The sequence below is a fragment of the Homo sapiens genome, chromosome 1, assembly GCF_000001405.40.
Source record: "Homo sapiens chromosome 1, GRCh38.p14 Primary Assembly".
In the NCBI taxonomy this organism is placed as follows: domain Eukaryota; kingdom Metazoa; phylum Chordata; class Mammalia; order Primates; family Hominidae; genus Homo; species Homo sapiens.
Genome location: NC_000001.11, coordinates 28,569,170 through 28,585,944, shown reverse-complemented (window position 1 = coordinate 28,585,944; position 16,775 = coordinate 28,569,170). Strand labels below are relative to the sequence as shown.

The window sequence follows — 16,775 nt, the reverse complement described above, 5'->3', positions numbered from 1 at the left end:
TTTTTTTTTTGTTTGTTTGTTTTTTAGTAGAGACAGGGTTTCACTGTGTTAGCCAGGATAGTCTCGCTCTCCTGACCTCGTGTTCTGCCCGCCTTGGCCTCCCAAAGTGCTGGGATTACAGGTGTGAGCCACCGCGCCCGGCCCACTTGGTGATTATTTCAAGAATGCTGGCCATCTTTTATGTACCAGGCATTTATACAGCAGTAGGGGGGAAAAAAGACAAAATTCCAGCTCTCTTGGGATGCTCACATTCTAATAGGGAAAACAGAAAACAAAATACATATATAATACCATGTCAGGAAGCACTAAGTGCTGTAAATAACAATCAAGGAGGCAGTGACTTGAAGGTTGGAGGATGGAGGGGTGCTGTATCAAAATAGGATGGCCTGAGGAGGTGACGTGTGGACAGAAACCCAGGGGAAGTGAGGCTTAAGAAGTGTGATTGTCTGTGATATTCAGGTGGGGCGAGTTCCAGGCAAGAGCAAAGGCCCTGGGGTGCTTCAAGAAGAGCAAAGAGTCCAGGAAGATGGAGCTGACTGAGTGAGGGAGCAAGTGGTGCGTGATGAGGGCAGGAAGGAGGAGGAGCCTGATCACGTATGACCTTGGAGACCATTATGGAGATTGCCGTTTTTATTCTAAGTGTGTTGGGAAGTCATGGGAGATTTCTGAGCAAGTGAATAACATGATATAAATGTTTTTTAGGCCTGGCTCATGCCTGTAATCCCAGCACTTTGGGAGGCCAAGCAGGTAGGTCACCTGGGGTCGGGAGTTCAAGACCAGCCTGACCAACATGGAGAAGCCCCGTCTCTACTAAAAATACAAAAAATTAGCCGGGCCTGGGGCAGGTGCTGTAATCCCAGCTACTCAGGAGGCTGAGGCAGGAGAATCACTTGAACCTGGGAGGTACAGGTTGCAGTGAGCCGAGATCGTGCCATTGCACTCCAGCCTGGCAACAAGAGGGAAACTCCGTCTCAAAAAAAAAAAGTTTTAAAAAATACATGTTACTTATTTATTTACTTTTATTTTATTATTACTTTTGAGATGGAATATTGATCTGTTGCCCAGACTGGAATGCAGTGGCACGATCTCGGTTCACTGCAACCTCTGCCTCAGCCTCCCGAGTAGCTGGGATTATAGGCGCCCGCCACCATGTCTGGTTAATTTTTTATATTTTTAGTAGAGACGGGGTTTCACCATCTTGGCCAGGCTGGTCTTGAACTCCTGATCTCGTGACCCACCCGCCTTGGCCTCCCAAAGTGCTGGGATTACAGGCATGAGTTACTGTGCCTGGCCTTATTTATTTTTAAAGGCAGGGTCTCACTTTGTTGCCCAGGCTGACCTCCAGCTCCTGGACAGAAGTGATCCTCCTGTTTCAGCTTCCCAAGTAGCTGGACTACAGGTGATCCACTGCATCTGCCTTAATATAATATGTATATCTATCTATCTATATATACACACACATAGATATAGATAGATATATATAGATATATTTTTTGAGAGGGAGTCTCGCTGTATCACCCAGGCTGGAGTGCAGTGGCATGATCTTGGCTCACTGCAACCTCTGCCTCCCAGGTTCGAGCGATTCTTATGCCTTAGCCTCCCAAGTAGCTGGGACTGTAGATGAGTGTCACCATGCCTGGGTAATTTTTTTTTTTTGTATTTTTAGTAGAGATGGGGTTTTGTCATGTTGGCCAGGCTGGTCTCTAGTTCCTGATGTCAGGTAATCCACCTGCCTTGGCCTCCCGAATTGGTGGGAGCTACTGCGCCTGGGAGATATACATTTTTTCTTAATGGTTTTTTGACAGCTTTATTGAGGCATAATTGACACAGAATAAACTGCACAAGCCTGGGCGAAAAAGCGAGACTTCATCTCCAAAAAAAAAAAAAAAAGTTTAATAATTTTACTTTTTTTCTTTTTTTTTTGAGACGGAGTCTCGCTCTTGTCGCCCAGGCTGGAGTGTAATGGCTCCATCTTAGCTCACTTCAACCTCCGCTTCCCAGGTTCAAACGATTCTCCTGCCTCAGCCTCCCAAGTAGCTGGGATTACAGGCGCCTGCCACCACGCCCAGCTAATTTTTGTATTTTTAGTAGAAACGGGTTTTCACCATGTTGGCTAGGCTGGACTTGAAATCCTGACCTCAGGTTATCTGCCCCCTCGGACTCCCAAAGTGCTGGAATTACAGGTGGGAGCCACCGCGCCCAGCATAATTATTAAGCTTTTAAAGCGTAAACAAACGGCCGGGCGCGGTGGCTCGTGCCTGTAATCCCAGCACTTTGGGAGGCCGAGGCGGGTGGATCACGAGGTCAGGAAATCGAGACCATCCTGCCCAACATGGGGAAACCCTGTCTCTACTAAAAATACAAAAAATTAGCCGGGCGTGGTGGCGGGCGCCTGTAATCCCAGCTACTTGGGAGGCTGAGGCAGGAGAATGGCGTGAACCCGGGAGCGGGAGCTTGCAGTGAGCTGAGATGGCGCCACTGCACTCCAGCCTGGGCGACAGAGCAGCTCCGTCTCAAGAAAAAAAAAAAAAAGCATAAACTACAAAAAAAAAAATTGACTCTTAGACTTCATAAAAATTAAAAAACTTTTAGCAGGCTGGCTGGCGTGTGGAGACCAGACTGTCGGGAGCAACAGCAGGATCTGGGAGATAAGAGACTATTGCTATCATCTGGGTCAACGATTAGGGTAACATCAGTGGAAGGGGTAAGAAACAGTCAGATTATTGATACATTTTAAAGGTAGAGCACACAGGAGTTGCTGATGGCTTGGACATGTGATGTTAGAGAAAGAGAGGAGTCCAGGACCACAGGCATGCGCCCCCACGACCTGCTAAAGTAGTACTTACTTTTTATTTTATTTTATTTTTTTGAGACAGAGTCTCGTTCTGTTGCCCAGGCTAGAGTGCAGTGACGCGATCTCGGCTCTCTGCAAGCTCCGCCTCCCGGGTTCACGCCATTCTCCTGCCTCAGCCTCCCGGGTAGCTGGGACTACAGGCGCCCGCGACCACGCCCGGCTAATTTTTTTTTGTATTTTTTTTTAGTAGAGACCGGGTTTCGCCGTGTTAGCCAGGATGGTCTCGATCTCCTGACCTCGTGATCCACCCGCCTTGGCCTCCCAAAGTGCTGGGATTACAGGCGTGAGTAACCGCACCCGGCAGTAGTACCTACTTTTTAAAGTGTAAGCAAGGAAAGTTGGCCCGCACCTGTAGTCCCATCTACCTGGGAGGCTGAGGTGGAAGAATTGCTTGAGCCCAGTTGGTCGAGGCTGCAATGAGCCTTGATCACGCCACTGCACTCCAGCCTGGGCAACAGAACAAGACCCTGTCTCAAACAAAAAAGTGTATGTAAGAATAAAAATTAATAGATTAGGCACAGGATGGGTGTTTAATTCTCGGCAATCACCACTAAGTTTTCATACTGAGGCTTATTCATTCCATGGGCAAAACATTGCGCTATGTGTGGTGCCTGGGGTGGGCTCCAAATTCCAGTCCTCTCCTCGCTTGCGATAGCTGTGTGATCCATTCCTAAGTTTCCTTATTTGTCCACAGAGCGTACACAGGGTTTTTATGAAAACTAGATCAGATAATCAGACACAGTTAAAATAGCACGCGCTCAGTAAAATTACATATTAGTGGAAGAGACAAGCCTTGAATAAATCGCCTTTCGGGGAGTATGACCCCCTCCCCGAAACCCACTCAGGCGCTGCTCGCTCGCACGCCCACTGAGCTCGGAGCGGAGCCCGAGCCCTTTCCCAGCACACAGGGTTCATTTCCAGACTGAAAGACATCCCAGAGACAACTCCAGAGGCCAAGGCGGGTCGGCTTCCTGCGTGGGCCCAGCGCCGGGCACTGAAAGGTGAAGGCGCTTCTTCCGCTCGGAGGAAAGCCTCTGGCGGTTCTCGCTTCGCGGGCTCGGGATGGACACGCGCGTAGGGCTGGGGAGGTGACGCGCGGACAACGCCGGGGCGAGCAAACTACAACTCCCAGGCAGCTGTGCGCCACGCGGGCGGCCTACTGTCGGGTGTGGCCGCGAGGGGCGGCCTATATAAGCTCTTGCTCGCGGCTTCAGCGCCCTTTCTCCCCGCCGCATTCCCGGTGTCGACTTACTAGCTGCAAGCCTCTGCCTGCCTTCCTGCGCGCCGTTCCCCGCTAGTCGCTGCTGCTGGCGCGCACTCGCCGGGTTTTTCCTCCCACGGCCTCGAGATGGTGGTGAATGTGGCACGGAGGAGCCGGGCCTTCCAACCCGGTGGGCCCGAGCTCCGAAAGGCCCCCTCGGCAGTGAGAGGGGCGGGAGCCCGCGGGGGCCGCGCCCTTCTCTCGCTTCGGACTGCGCAACGCTGCGCTCTGGGCTGACAGGTGAGTGTTGCAGGCAGGCGGCCGGGTTTACGGAAGGGGTGGGGGTTTGGGAACCGGTCTCCTGGGGGATGCGGGGATGAATCCCTGGGCCTGAAGTGTCTTAATTCAGGGGGAGGCCGCATGCTGGTGTCAGGATGGCCTCCAGTTGAATCTGTGACATTTACCAGCTAGGTGATTTTGGGACTGGTGACTACGCGCGAGACCTCTGGAGGTCGCCCTGGTAGACACGGTTTTCAGAAGGACGGGTTTTAGGCATTCAGACCCTTGCGTGCATCCCAGCTTGTTGCTTTCAGCCTCGCTAAGTGACTAAGCGACCTTCAGGAAGTAACTTAATCGGTCTAAACCTCTTACCTGTAATAGGCGGATAAAACGGTCCCATCAAGACTGAGAAAAAGCACACCAGCTATTGGCACAGCGTGGGCAGTGGGGCCTACAGGATGACTGACTTAGTCTACAGAGATCCCGGCGTACTTAAGCAGGTAGTAATGATGGACAGGTGAGGCTTTAGGCGGCCGCCCTGGGATCTGAATTGCCCCTTGGCCCTTATCGAAGCTGCAGCTGCTTCCGCATAGCTGCTGTGGTCAAAAAGGAGCCCAGAGTGACAGTTTTCCTTGACGGTCGCCGTTCTGTTTGTTGTAACTGATCTGCAACATTTTGGGAAAATACAGTTCCATTGTACCTGCCACCTTTCAGCTGTAGCCAGAGACCTTTATCAAAATGGGCTTGTTTCCACAGAACAGCAGAACGGTTGGGGGTTTGCATGTACAGTTAACCAGCATAAGACTCGTACTGGGAAAATCCAGCTGGGATGTGACACAGCTTAACTGATAGCTTAAGGCATCAGTATTGGGACCAAAGGCTGGTCAGATTTGTATCATTCTGAGGACCAAATGATGGGAACAATAAAATTGTTCATGACAGTTGTTCTCATTTTGCTGTCCAGATGAAGACTCTTAAGATGACAGAAGGTGATTTTTCTGGTGATCGAGGACTTCCGGGGTAATGACAGTGATGAAATGCAGGGGACCTGGTAGGTTTCTTTTGGAGACTAACTGGGGGCTGCCTGGTGGGACAGAACAGCATGTTTCCAAGGGCTGTGGCTGGTCATAGCCATGGGATCTCCAACTGCATGCAAGAGCAACCTGGAAAGACTTTGACAGCGCAGGTCAGTACAATACCTGCAAGCTGCCACTCAGCTTTCCTATAATGTTTCAGGACCAGGGCTGGAAGCCTTCCATGTGTCAACTTCAATGTAGATGGGTTTTTTTTTTTTTTTTTTTTTGAGACGGAGTCTTGCTCTGTCACCCAGGCTGCTGGAGTGCAGTGGCATGATCTCGGCTCATGGCAACCTCTGCCTCCTGGGTTCAAGCGACTCTCCTACCTCATCCTCCCGAGTAGCTGGGATTACAGGTGCCCACCATCACACCCAGCTAATTTTCTTGTATTTTTAGTAGAGATGGTTTTCACCATGTTGGCTAGATGGGTCTCGAACTTCTGACCTCGGGTGATCCGCCCGACTCGGCCTCCCCTTCCAAAGTGCTGGGATTACAGGCATGAGCCACCGCTCCTGGCCAGTTTAGTTTTCACGCTAAGCTTTTTGTTCTGCAGGTTGCCCCCAAGTTTCCTGGCAGTGTGTGATACTGAGGAGGTGAGCTTGTTTCTGGAGCTGTGCTTTAAGGTAAAGTTGATCAGCTTAATCCTCCTGATCCCTTTCCCATCGGATCTGAACACTGGTCTTGGTGGTCGTAAAAGGAGGAAAAGTAATAGTGAAGCTGGCCTAAATGTTGTAATCTGGTATATGGCATGTGGGCTAGTTTCAGACAGGTTTCAGAGATGGTTGGATCTCTGAAATTGTAAAATGAAGTATAATCTTAGGCTAAGGGAAGGATGCGTGTGAAGCTCTGGAGGTTGGTATAGTAATAGCTGACCTATTACTGCATTTGGGAGGGATCTGTCATAGCTTCCTTGCCTCTTAATTAAGGGTGGTGTTTTTTTCTTTTAGATTCATGTTACATGTAAAGCTGTCCTCATTTGTGACTATGGACCTATGGAGTTGGGTAAGTTAGTGACTACCCAAAGCTTTGTCACAACTTGGTGTGTAGCTGCAGGTAGTGCTCAACTATCTGGGATCCTGTCCTAAGTAGTCAACCTAATAGAACTATAAGGTTACTTAGGTCTGTGTCAAAGTTACAGCTTTTTTTTTTTTTTTTTTTGAGACAGGGTCTTTCTGTCACCCAGGCTGGAGTGCAGTGGCACAATCTTGGCTAATTGCCTCCCAGGTTCAAGTGATTCTCCTGCCTCAGCCTCCTGAGTAGCTGGGACTATAAGCACGCACCACTATGTCTGGCTAATTTTTGTATTTTTAGTAGAGACAGGGTTTCACCACGTTGCCCAGGGCAGTCTTGAACTCCTGACCCCAAGTGATCTGCCTGCCTTGGCCTACCAAAGTGCTAGGATTACAGGCATGAACCACTGTGCCGGGCCAGAAAGTCTTAGCATCTTAGTAACATTTACATTTGGCCTCCCTCGTGTGCCCTTAGCTATTCATTACCAGAGGGCAAAGATGGTTAGAACATGATTTACCCACCCTAAAATGCATTGAAGGCATCAGAGGGCACCGTGGGCCACAAGGCCTGGTAGCCACAAATGTTCAGTGGTGGCTGGAGCTCATGATGCATTCTTTGGTGGGACGTCTCTCAGCATTAGGGAGAGTTGAGAGTGGGGTAGAAACAAGGGGTTCCATGTAGCACACACTGTATTTAGAATGACTGGTCCAGGATGAAACCTAATTTGAGTGGACATCCATGGATGAGAAATGCGGATATGGGACTGAGACCAGCTCCTAGGAAAATGTCTGGGTGGGGGAAATCTGGGAATTAGTAACACAATGGCTTACACTTCCTTTGCAGGACAATCTCTATGGGAAGCAGAAGGCAAGGACCCCGGTCATTTTAGGTAGAAACAACAGCATGCTAATGCAAAAAATTATGCAGTGTGCTACTGAACTTCAGAGGTGATCAATAAAAGAAGAATAAAAAGACTAATAAAAGTATATTTGTGTTTGTATTTTTTTGTAGAGACCGAACTGGTCTCTTCCCGAGCTCAAGCAATCCATCTCCCAAAGTGAGCCACCATGCCCAGCCCTTAAAGAGATCTTTGGAGATTTTTTATGATGTAGGATGAATGCTTTGCCTCAAGCAGTAAGTCCCAACACATGACAAGGTTGGACAGTTTCCCCATTTACTTGGGAAACACGGAAGTGAGCAGTATAAAGTTCACACGGAGGGTCTGCTTTGGCTTTGAGCTATCTTCCTTAATCCTTTCTGAGCTGCCTTCTCCCGTGTCAAAATATTGATCCTAAAGTGATCCAGGCCTTGTATATGCAGATGCTGCAACTCATGAAAATAGATGAAACCCATTATTAGAGCAAGTACTAATTCTTAGGCCAACTGGCCTGTTCCATCACACCCCACCACATTCTACCTTCTGGGGCGTGCTCCTACCACACCTGCTAGAGTGCCTTTTCTACCTAGCTGCCAGACTTGCACCAAGTTAGGACTCAAATATGGCAGGTCCTACAAATACTCCAGAGAACCCTGATTTACATACCTACCTGTCAACTGAGAAACCTTGAACTCAGGCTTTAGTGTGTGAATTATCCCAAGCTGCTCATCCCAGTTTTGGATAATCCCAAACTGTCCTATGTGGATAACTACCTGGACAAAGGATTCCTGTGAAGGAAACCAATTTGAACCTTGTTTAAAAGTTGTTCCCTTGGTCTTCAAACTCAAATGGTCAAATGAATGCAGCAGTGTTGTAGAAACATTCATGATCTCCAAAAACAGTCATTATTAAAATCTTACAAATCATATTTCCAAAAAGGTTTCACAATTTTTAAAAAGGAGTCTCTCATCTCCCTCACATCATGCAACCTGGCTTGTCCTTTGGCCTGGCTACATCATGGCAGGGATCTCTGAAGACACTGTGTCCAGGGGCTGCCAGTGACAGTCCATCAGAGCGTCATACAGCTCCTCACTCTGTTCCATGAACTCCTTGTTGGCCTCAGTCACATCCAGCTGTGGCATGGGGTCTGGAAAGCAAGCAAGGATGGGGTCAGGGAAGTCTAGGGACAGCTGCAAGGGACCTGGTTCAGTTCCCTTCTCCCAGAACTCTGTTCTATGGTAAGGTCCCTATCCTGCCAGTTTCTTTCAGGAAGTGAAAGCACTGCCTTGCAGGGTTCTGGGGAAGATGAAAATAGAATAATGTATCTAGAGAATGGGAAAATGGCAGCTGTTAGCCTGCATCTATTAAAAGCTACACCTGTGTCTCTAGCCATCATGTATCCTAGATTTTCTGGTCTGGTCCTCACTTCAAATTTGGGTTTAGAAGGTCTGATCAAAGTTATTAAGTCCAGAGCATCATCTCAAGAACTGACAATAAGTGCATAGTGGAAGAACTTCAGTCAAATATAGGAGCTGAAAGGCCAAGTCCTGTATGTATGTATGTGTGTGTGTATGTACTTTAGAGAAAGGGTCTTGCTCTGTCACACAGGCTAGAGTACAGTGGCACACTTACAGCTCACAGCAGCCTTGAACTCTTAGGTTAAAGTGATCCTCCCGCCTTAGCCTCCCAAAGTACTGAGATTACAGGCATGAGTCCCTGTCCCTGGTGGTAAAATACTATTAAAAATTTTTTCTGCACAGTGGCTCATGCCCATAATCCCAGCACTTCAGCAGGTCGAGGCGGGCAGATCACCAGAAGTCGGGAGTTCAAGACCAGCCTGACCAACATGGAGAAATCCCATCTCTACTAAAAATACAAAATGAGCCGGGCATGGTGGCACATGCCTATAATCCCAACTACTCGGGAGGCTGAGGCAGGAGAATTGCTTGAACCCAGGAGGTGGAGGTTGCGGTGAGCCGAGATGGCACCACTGCATTCCAGCCTGGGCAACAAGAGCAAAACCCCGTCTCGGCCGGGCGCGGTGGCTCACGCCTGTAATCCCAGCACTTTGGGAGGCCAAGGCAGGCAGATCACAAGGTCAAGAGATCGAGACCATCCTGGCCAACATGGTGAAACCCCGTCTCCACTAAAAATAGAAAAATTAGCTGGGCGTGGTGGCAGGCACCTGTAGTCCCAGCTACTCGGGAGGCTGAGGCAGGAGAATCGCTTGAACCCGGGAGGCGGAGGTTGCAGTGAGCCGAGATCACGCCATTGCACTCCAGCCTGGGCAACAGAGCAAGATGCCATCTCAAAAAAAAAAAAAAAATTAGCTGGGCATGGTGACCTGTGTCTGTAGTGCCAGCTACTAGGGAGGCTGAGGCAGGAGGATCACTTGAGCCTAGGAGGTCGAGGCTGCAGTGAGGCATGTTCACATCACTGATCTCAAGTCTGGGCAACAAAGTGAGACTCTGTCTCAAAAAAAAAAAAAAACTGGGCACTGTGGCTCATGCCTGTAAACCCAGCACTTTGGGAGGCCGAGGTGGGCAGATCACAAGGTCAAGGGATTGAGACCATCCTGGGCAACATGGTGAAACCCTGTCTCTACTCAAATACAAAAAATTAGCCGGGTATGGCAGTGCACGCCTGTAGTCCCAGCTACTCGGGAGGCTGAGGCAGGAGAATCACCTGAACCCGGGAGGCAGAGGTTGCAGTGAACAGAGATGGCACCACTGCACTCCAGCCTGGCGACAGAGCAAAGACTCTATCTCAAAAAAAAAAAAAAAAAAAAAAGCCAGGCGCAGTGGCTCAAGCCTGTAATCCCAGCACTTTGGGAGGCCAAGGTGGGCGGACCACCTGAGGTCAGAAGTTTGAGACCAGCCTGACCAACATAGAAACCCCATCTTTATGGGGTTAGAAAAATAGAAATAGAAAATTAGCTGGGCATGCGAGATTGCGCCACTGCACTCCAGCCTGGGCGACAGAGCAAGACTCCGTCTCAAAAAAAGAAAAAAAGAAAATTAGCTGGGCATGATGGCGCATGCCTGTAATCCCAGCTACTCGGGAGGCTGAGGCAGAAGAATCACTTGAACCCGGGAGGCGGAGGTTGCAGTGAGCTGAGATCGCGCCACTGCACTCCAGCCTGGGCAACAAGAGTGAGACACCGTCTCAAAAAAAAAAAAAACAAAAAAAAACATTGGGCCTGGCGCAGTGGTTCACACCTGTAATCCCAGCATTGGGAGGCAGAGGCGGGCGGATCATGAGGTCAAAAGATAGAGACCATCATGGCCAACATGGTGAAACCCCATCTTTACTAAAAATACAAAAATTAGCTGGGCGTGGTGGCGCGCATCTGTAGTCCCAGCTATTCAGGAGGATGAGGCAGGGGAATCGCTTGAACCTGTGAGGCAGAGGTTACAGTGGGTCGAGATCGTGCCACTGAACTCCAGCCTGGTGACAGAGCAAGACTCTCAAGAAAAAGAAAACAAAAAAAGGATTAAAAAGAGATTGGAAAATTCTAAGGACTTATCTACAGATATTATGAGGCTAATTATCTCTAGAAAGAAGGCAATGTCTCCCAGGGGGAAACAACTAGAGACTTGAATATAAAAAGACCGGACTGTCCTGACTTTGCCCCACACTGTGTGACCCTCAGCAGATCACTTGGGCTTTCCGAGCCACTAGTTTCCCATCTGTGAAATGGAGCTCCTGTGTCCTTCCCAGCCCACCCCACAAGGTCACTACAGTTGGCATCACATGAGAGGACACAAGAAAGTGCTTTAAAATGTTATGAACTAGACAAGTTTGTTCATGCCCTAAAAGGGATCTGTTTCCTTTAACGAACATTTTCTTGACAGAAAACATTTTCCCTATGACTTTCTCTTGAAGACGAATCCTCAAAACAGATTTCAAACTTTGAGTCTTTTTGTACCTCAAAAAAAGTTTTGGCCAGGAGCAGTGGCTCATGCCTATAATGCCAGCACTTTGGAAGGCCGAGATGGGCAGATCACTTGAACCTAGGAGTTCAAGACCAGCCTGGGCAACATGGTGAAACCCTGCCTCTACAAAAAAATAGAAAAAAATAGCCAGTTATGGTGGGGCACAACTGTAGTCACAGCTCACTGAAGCCTCAACCTCCTGGGCCCAAGCAATCCTCCTGCCTCAGCCTCCCCCAAGTAGCTGGAACCACAGGCCACCATGCTTGGCTTTCAGTTTTTCTTTCCTTTTTCTTCTGTGAAATTCAGTGAAAATTATAAATACTTGGCCGGGCACAGTGGCTCATGCCTGTAATCAAAGCACTTTGGGAGGCTGAGGCGGGAGGATTACTTGAGGTAAGGAGTTCGAAACCAGCCTGGCCAACATGCTGAAACCCTGTCTCTACTAAAAATACAAAAATTAGCCGAGCGTGGTGGTGCATGCCTGTAATCCCAGCTACTCAGGAGGCTGAGGCAGGAGAATCACTTGAACCTGGGAGGCAGAGGTTGCAATGAGCTGAGATTGGAGACTGCACCACTGCACTCCAGCCTGGGTGACAGAGCAAGACTCCGTCTCCCAAAAAAAAAAAAAAAAAAAGAGATGGGGTCTCGTTATGTTGCCCAGGCTGGTCTCAAAGTTCTAGGCTCAAGCCATCCTCCAACCCACGTTGGCCTTCCAAAGACCTTACAGGCTTTAGCCACCGTGCCTAGACAGTAAATACTGTTGTTTTTTTTTTTGAGACGGAGTTTCACTCTCGTCACCCAGGATGGACTGCAATGGAGCATTCTTGGCTCACCGAAACCTCCATCTCCCGGGTTCAAGTGAGTCTCCTGCTTCAGCCTCCCAAGGAGCTGGAATTACAGGCATGGGCCACCATGCCTGGATAATTTTTTTTTTTTTTTGAGACAGAGTCTTGCACTGTTGCCCAGGCTGGAGTACAGTGGTATGATCTCGACTCACTGCAACTTCCGCCTCCCGGGTTCAAGTGATTCTCCTGCCTCAGCCTCCTGAGGAGGTGAGATTATAGGCGCGCAACACCACGCCTGGCTAATTTTTTTATTTTTAGTACCGGCAGAATTTCACCATGTTGGCCAGGCTGGTCTAGAACTTCCGACCTTAGGTGATCCTCCCGCCGTGGCTTCCCAAAGTGCTGGGAGTACAGGGGTGAGCCACCGCGCCTGGCAATTTTTTTATTTTTAGTAGAGACGGGGTTTCACCATGTTGGCCAAGATGGTCTCGATCTCTTAACCTCATGATTCACCCTCCTTGGCCTCCCAAAGGGCTGGGATTACAGGGGTGAGCCACCGTGCAAGGCTTAAATATTTTTAATTAAAAAATTAATAATGGGCTGGGCACGGTGGCTCACCCCTGTAATCCCAGCACTTTGGGAGGCGAGGCAGGCGGATCACGAGGTCGAGTTTGAGACTAGCCTGGCCAAGATGGTGAAACCCCGTCTCTACTAAGAATACAAAAATTAGCTGGGCGTGGTGGCATGTGCCTGAAATCCCAGCTCTTCGGGAGGCTGAGGCAGGAGAATCACTTGCACCCGGGAGGCGGGCTTGCAGTGAGATGAGATTGCGCCACTGCATTCCAGTCTGGGTGACACAGCAAGACTCTGCCTCAAAAAAAAAAAAAAAAGAAAAAGAAAAAATTAATAATGGCTATTACTATGTTGTAATAGGATATGGGGTGATTTTCAGTTTCATTATACTTTACTATATTTTCTTTTTCTTTTTTTTTGAGACGGAGTCTCGCTCTGTCTCCCAGGCTGGAGCCCATTGGTGCGATCTCGGCTCACTGCAAGCTCTGCCTCCCGGGTTCACGCCATTCTCCTGCCTCAGCCTCCCGAGTAGCTGGGACTACAGGCGCCCATCACCACACCCGGCTAATTTTTTCTATTTTTTAGTAGAGACGGGGTTTCACCGTGTTAGCCAGGATGGTCTCGATTTCCTGACCTCACAATCCACCTGCCTCGGCCTCCCAAAGTGCTGGGATTAGAGGCGTGAGCCACCATGCCTGGCCCATACTTTACTATATTTTCCAAATTTTCCATCCTAACGATGACTTAAAAATCAGGAAAATATGTCTTTTAAAATATATTGAAAAACAGAAAAAAAATAAAATAAATAAAAAATGAATTTTACAAACAGTCAAACAAATAAAAGGTAACAGTATTATCGGCCAGGCACAGTGGCTCATGCCTGTAATCCCAGCACTTTGGGAGGCTGAGGCGGGCGGATCACCTAAGGCTGAGAGTTTGAGACCGGCCAAGCCAACATGGAGAAACCCTGTCTCTACTAAAAATACAAAATAATTAGCTGGGCATGGTGGTGCATGCCCGTAATCCCAGCTACTCGGGAGGCTGAGGCAGGAGAATTGCTTGAACCTGGCAGGTGGAGGTTGCGGTGAACTGAGATCATGCCATTGCACTCCAGCCTGGCCAACAAGAGTGAAACTCCACCACACACACACACAAAAAAAGGGTAACAGTATTATCGTTAGAGGCCCACATACCAGGATAGAATGCCACATGTCAAGGGGGTGATGGGCTCTCCTGGAGCTGCCTGTCCCAGGCTCTCTGGGATCTACACTTACACCTCTGGGTAACACCCGACACATCTTACCATAATTACATATTTGTCTGGCTCTCTAACCAGAATGTAAGTTCTTCCAGAGCAGAATTTATCTTGTCTTCCCTCTAGCTGAGAGCACAGTGCCAGCCACAGCAGTCACCTGATAATGGCTGACAGAGTAAGGAACGTATGAACCCTTACCTTCCAATGCATCATCTCCAACTTCTTCATATGTCTGCCAAGAGACCAGAGATGTGGGTTAGGGGCATGGTGAAATCCTGGCCCAGGACCACAGTGGCTTATATTTTTTATTTTTTTTGAGGTGGAGTCTAGCTCTGTCACCCAGACTAGAGTGTAGTGGCGTGATCTCGGCTCACTGCAACACCCGCATCCCAGTTTCAAGAGATTCTCCTGCCTCAGTCTCCTGAGCAGCTGGGATTATAGGCGCCTGCCACTATGCCCAGCTAATTTTTTGTATTTTTAGTAGATACAGGGTTTCACCATGTTGGCCAGGCTGGTTTTGAACTCCTGACCTCAGGTGATCTACCTGCCTCGGCCTCTCAAAGTGCTAGGATTACAGGTGTGAGCCACTGGGCCCTACCCACAATGGCTTATTTTTAACAAGAGGAACTGGACTGCTTCAACTTTCCCTATTTTTTCTGAAGCCCAAGCCCCTGTCCTTACCAATCCCATCCTAGAGAATGACCTGTTTCTAGAGGAGAAACACAACCCAAGGGGACCAGTCTTGCCAAGTCATGGTTACCTGCATGGTGCTCTGGGTATAGCCATACTGGGGGTAACTGTAGCTGTAGCTGCCTGTGTTCTGGTCATAGCCCCACTGAGCATAGTAGTTCTGGTACTGCTGATAATACTGGTTGTAGCTATAACTGTACATCTGACTATATTCCACTGGCTTTACACGGCTCCTTAAATGAAGACAGAAACAAAAATAAGTGTAAGCAAACATTTCCGTAACACTGCCTATGTGGCCACAGACTATTTTAAGTGCTTTATACCGATTAACTTTTTTTTTTCTTGAGACAGAGTCTTGCTCTGTTGCCTAGGCTGGAGTACAGGGGCGCAATCTCGGCTCACTGCAACCTGCGCCTCCCGGGTTCAAGCGATTCTCCTGCCTCAGCCTCCTGAGTAGCTGGGACTACAGGTGTGTGCCACCACGCCTGGCTAATTTTTTGTATTTTCAGTAGAGACAGGGTTTCACCATGTTAGCCAGGCTGGTCTCGATCTCCTGACCTCGTGATCCGCCTGCCTCAGCCTCCCAAAGTGCTGGGAGCCCGGCCACCAATTAACTCTTTTAATCCTCAAAACAACCATATGCAATAAGTGTATCATTATTCCTATTTTACAGATAAGGAAACTGAGGAACAGAGAGGTTAAGTAATTTGTCCAAAGTCACACAGCTAATATGAGAGTATGGCTCCAGAGACCATGCTTTTAATACAGGAGATTTTAATGGATAGGTTTGTCTCTCTTAACAAACTATGTCAGGACTGGCAAAAGGATATCCTGTTTAAAAAAAAAAACAAAACAAAAAAGGGCTGGGTGCGGTGGCTCACACCTGTAATCCCAACACTTTGGGAGGCGAAGGCAGGTGGGTCACCTGAGGTCAGGAGTTCCAAGACTAGCCTGGACAACATGGTGAAACCCCATCTCTACTAAAAATACAAAAAATTAGCTGGGTGGGATGGCGCGCCCGCAATCCCAGCTGCTTGTGAAGCTGAGGCAGGAGAATCGCTTGAACCTGGGAGACAGAGGTTGCAATGGGCCTAGATTGTGCCACTGGACTCCAGTCTGGGCAATAAAAGTGAAACTCTGTTTCAAAAAAAAAAGAAAAGAGACAGACGTGGTAGCTCACGCCTATAATCCCAGCCACTTGGGAGGCTAAGGAAGGAGAATCGCTTGATCCTGGGAGGCCCAGCTAATTTTTGTACTTTTAGCAGAGATGAGGTTTCACCATGTTGGCCAGGGTGGTCTTGAACTCCTGGCTTCAAGTGATCCACCCAACTCAGCCTCCCAAAGTGTTGGGATTACAGGCGTGAGCCACAGCACCCCGCCTTTTGTTTTCGTTTTTTTTGTTGTTGTTTTGAGAGAGTCTTGCTCTGTCGCCCAGGCTGGAGTGCAGTGGCGCGATCTCGGCTCACTGCAACCTCCGCCTCCTGGGTTCATGCCATTCTCCTGCCTCAGTCTCCCGAGTAGCTGGGACTATAGGCGCCCACCAGCACGCCCGGCTAATTTTTTTTTTTTTTTTTTTTGGTATTTTTAGTAGAGACGGGGTTTCACCATGTTAGCCAGGATGGTCTCAATCTCCTGACCTTGTGATCTGCCCGCCTCGGCCTCCCAAAGTGCTGGGATTACAGGCGTGAGCCACTGCACCTGGCCTTTTTTTTTTTTTGAGATGGAGTCTCACACTGTCACCCAGGCTGGAGTGCAGTGGCACAATCTTGGCTCACTGCAAGCTCTGCCTCCTGGGTTCATGCCATTCTCCGGTCTCAGCCTCTCTGAGTAGCTGGGATTACAGGTGCCCGCCACCACACCTGGCTAATTTTTTGTATTTTTAGTAGAGACGGGGTTTCACCATGTTAGCAAGGATGGTCTCGATCTCCTGACCTTGTGATCCACCCACCTCGGCCTCCCAAAGTGCTGGGATTACAGGCATGAGCCACCACGCCCAGCCTATTTTGTTTTTTAAGAGACACGGTCTCACTCTGTTGCCTGGGCTAGAGTGCAGTGGAGTTATCATAGCTCATTGTAACCTTGAACTCCTAGGCTCAATCAATTCTCCCACTTCAGCCACCAGAGCAGCTGGGACTAGAGGAGTACACCAAGCCCAGCTAATTTAATGTTTTTATATAATAATTTATTTACAACAAATAACATTTTTGGGAGAAGTCACTAAGCCTGATCTTCAATGTAT

The 16,775-nt window shown here is 48.7% G+C and overlaps 1 protein-coding gene, 1 long non-coding RNA gene and 4 other non-coding genes across 14 annotated transcripts in view, besides 2 other annotated features; 5 read left to right on the top strand and 1 right to left on the bottom strand.

The window, feature by feature from the left end:
* Positions 1-2,961: 2,961 nt before the first annotated feature.
* Positions 2,962-7,407, top strand: SNHG12 (small nucleolar RNA host gene 12). Of its 8 annotated transcripts, none has more exons than NR_146382.1 (6): positions 2,962-3,855; positions 4,716-4,834; positions 5,299-5,385; positions 5,964-6,033; positions 6,358-6,412; positions 7,265-7,407. It is a non-coding gene; the product is annotated as a small nucleolar RNA host gene 12 (long non-coding RNA). The 8 variants fall into 8 exon arrangements; NR_146383.1 differs by lacking the exon at positions 2,962-3,855 and adding an exon at positions 4,072-4,355 and having other exon boundaries at positions 5,964-6,003; NR_024127.2 differs by lacking the exon at positions 2,962-3,855 and adding an exon at positions 4,072-4,355.
* Positions 3,795-4,580: an enhancer, noted in NCBI's record as "H3K27ac hESC enhancer chr1:28907877-28908662 (GRCh37/hg19 assembly coordinates)". NCBI's record gives its function as "activates a minimal SCP1, AML or CMV promoter by ChIP-STARR-seq in primed H9 embryonic stem cells {active_cell/tissue: H9 hESC(primed)}" and the evidence as "EXISTENCE:reporter gene assay evidence [ECO:0000049][PMID:30033119]".
* Positions 4,581-5,366: an enhancer, noted in NCBI's record as "H3K27ac hESC enhancer chr1:28907091-28907876 (GRCh37/hg19 assembly coordinates)". NCBI's record gives its function as "activates a minimal SCP1, AML or CMV promoter by ChIP-STARR-seq in primed H9 embryonic stem cells {active_cell/tissue: H9 hESC(primed)}" and the evidence as "EXISTENCE:reporter gene assay evidence [ECO:0000049][PMID:30033119]".
* On the top strand, positions 4,892-5,025 carry SNORA16A (small nucleolar RNA, H/ACA box 16A). The gene has a single exon (NR_003035.1). It is a non-coding gene; the product is annotated as a small nucleolar RNA, H/ACA box 16A (small nucleolar RNA).
* On the top strand, positions 5,433-5,564 carry SNORA44 (small nucleolar RNA, H/ACA box 44). Its single transcript, NR_002976.1, has one exon. It is a non-coding gene; the product is annotated as a small nucleolar RNA, H/ACA box 44 (small nucleolar RNA).
* On the top strand, positions 6,052-6,181 carry SNORA61 (small nucleolar RNA, H/ACA box 61). Its single transcript, NR_002987.1, has one exon. It is a non-coding gene; the product is annotated as a small nucleolar RNA, H/ACA box 61 (small nucleolar RNA).
* On the top strand, positions 7,123-7,202 carry SNORD99 (small nucleolar RNA, C/D box 99). Its single transcript, NR_003077.1, has one exon. It is a non-coding gene; the product is annotated as a small nucleolar RNA, C/D box 99 (small nucleolar RNA).
* Positions 7,400-16,775, bottom strand: part of TRNAU1AP (tRNA selenocysteine 1 associated protein 1) — a 25,461-nt gene continuing 16,085 nt past the window's right edge. For both annotated transcript variants that reach the window (NR_003109.2, NM_017846.5), the window contains 3 exons: positions 14,607-14,769; positions 14,045-14,078; positions 7,400-8,445 (listed from right to left, as the gene is read on the bottom strand). Coding sequence is in view for 1 of the 2 variants with exons in the window: in NM_017846.5 (NP_060316.1) it covers positions 8,309-8,445; positions 14,045-14,078; positions 14,607-14,769 (334 nt within the window). In the remaining variant the exon portion in view is untranslated. The remainder of the gene's footprint in view (positions 8,446-14,044; positions 14,079-14,606; positions 14,770-16,775) is intronic.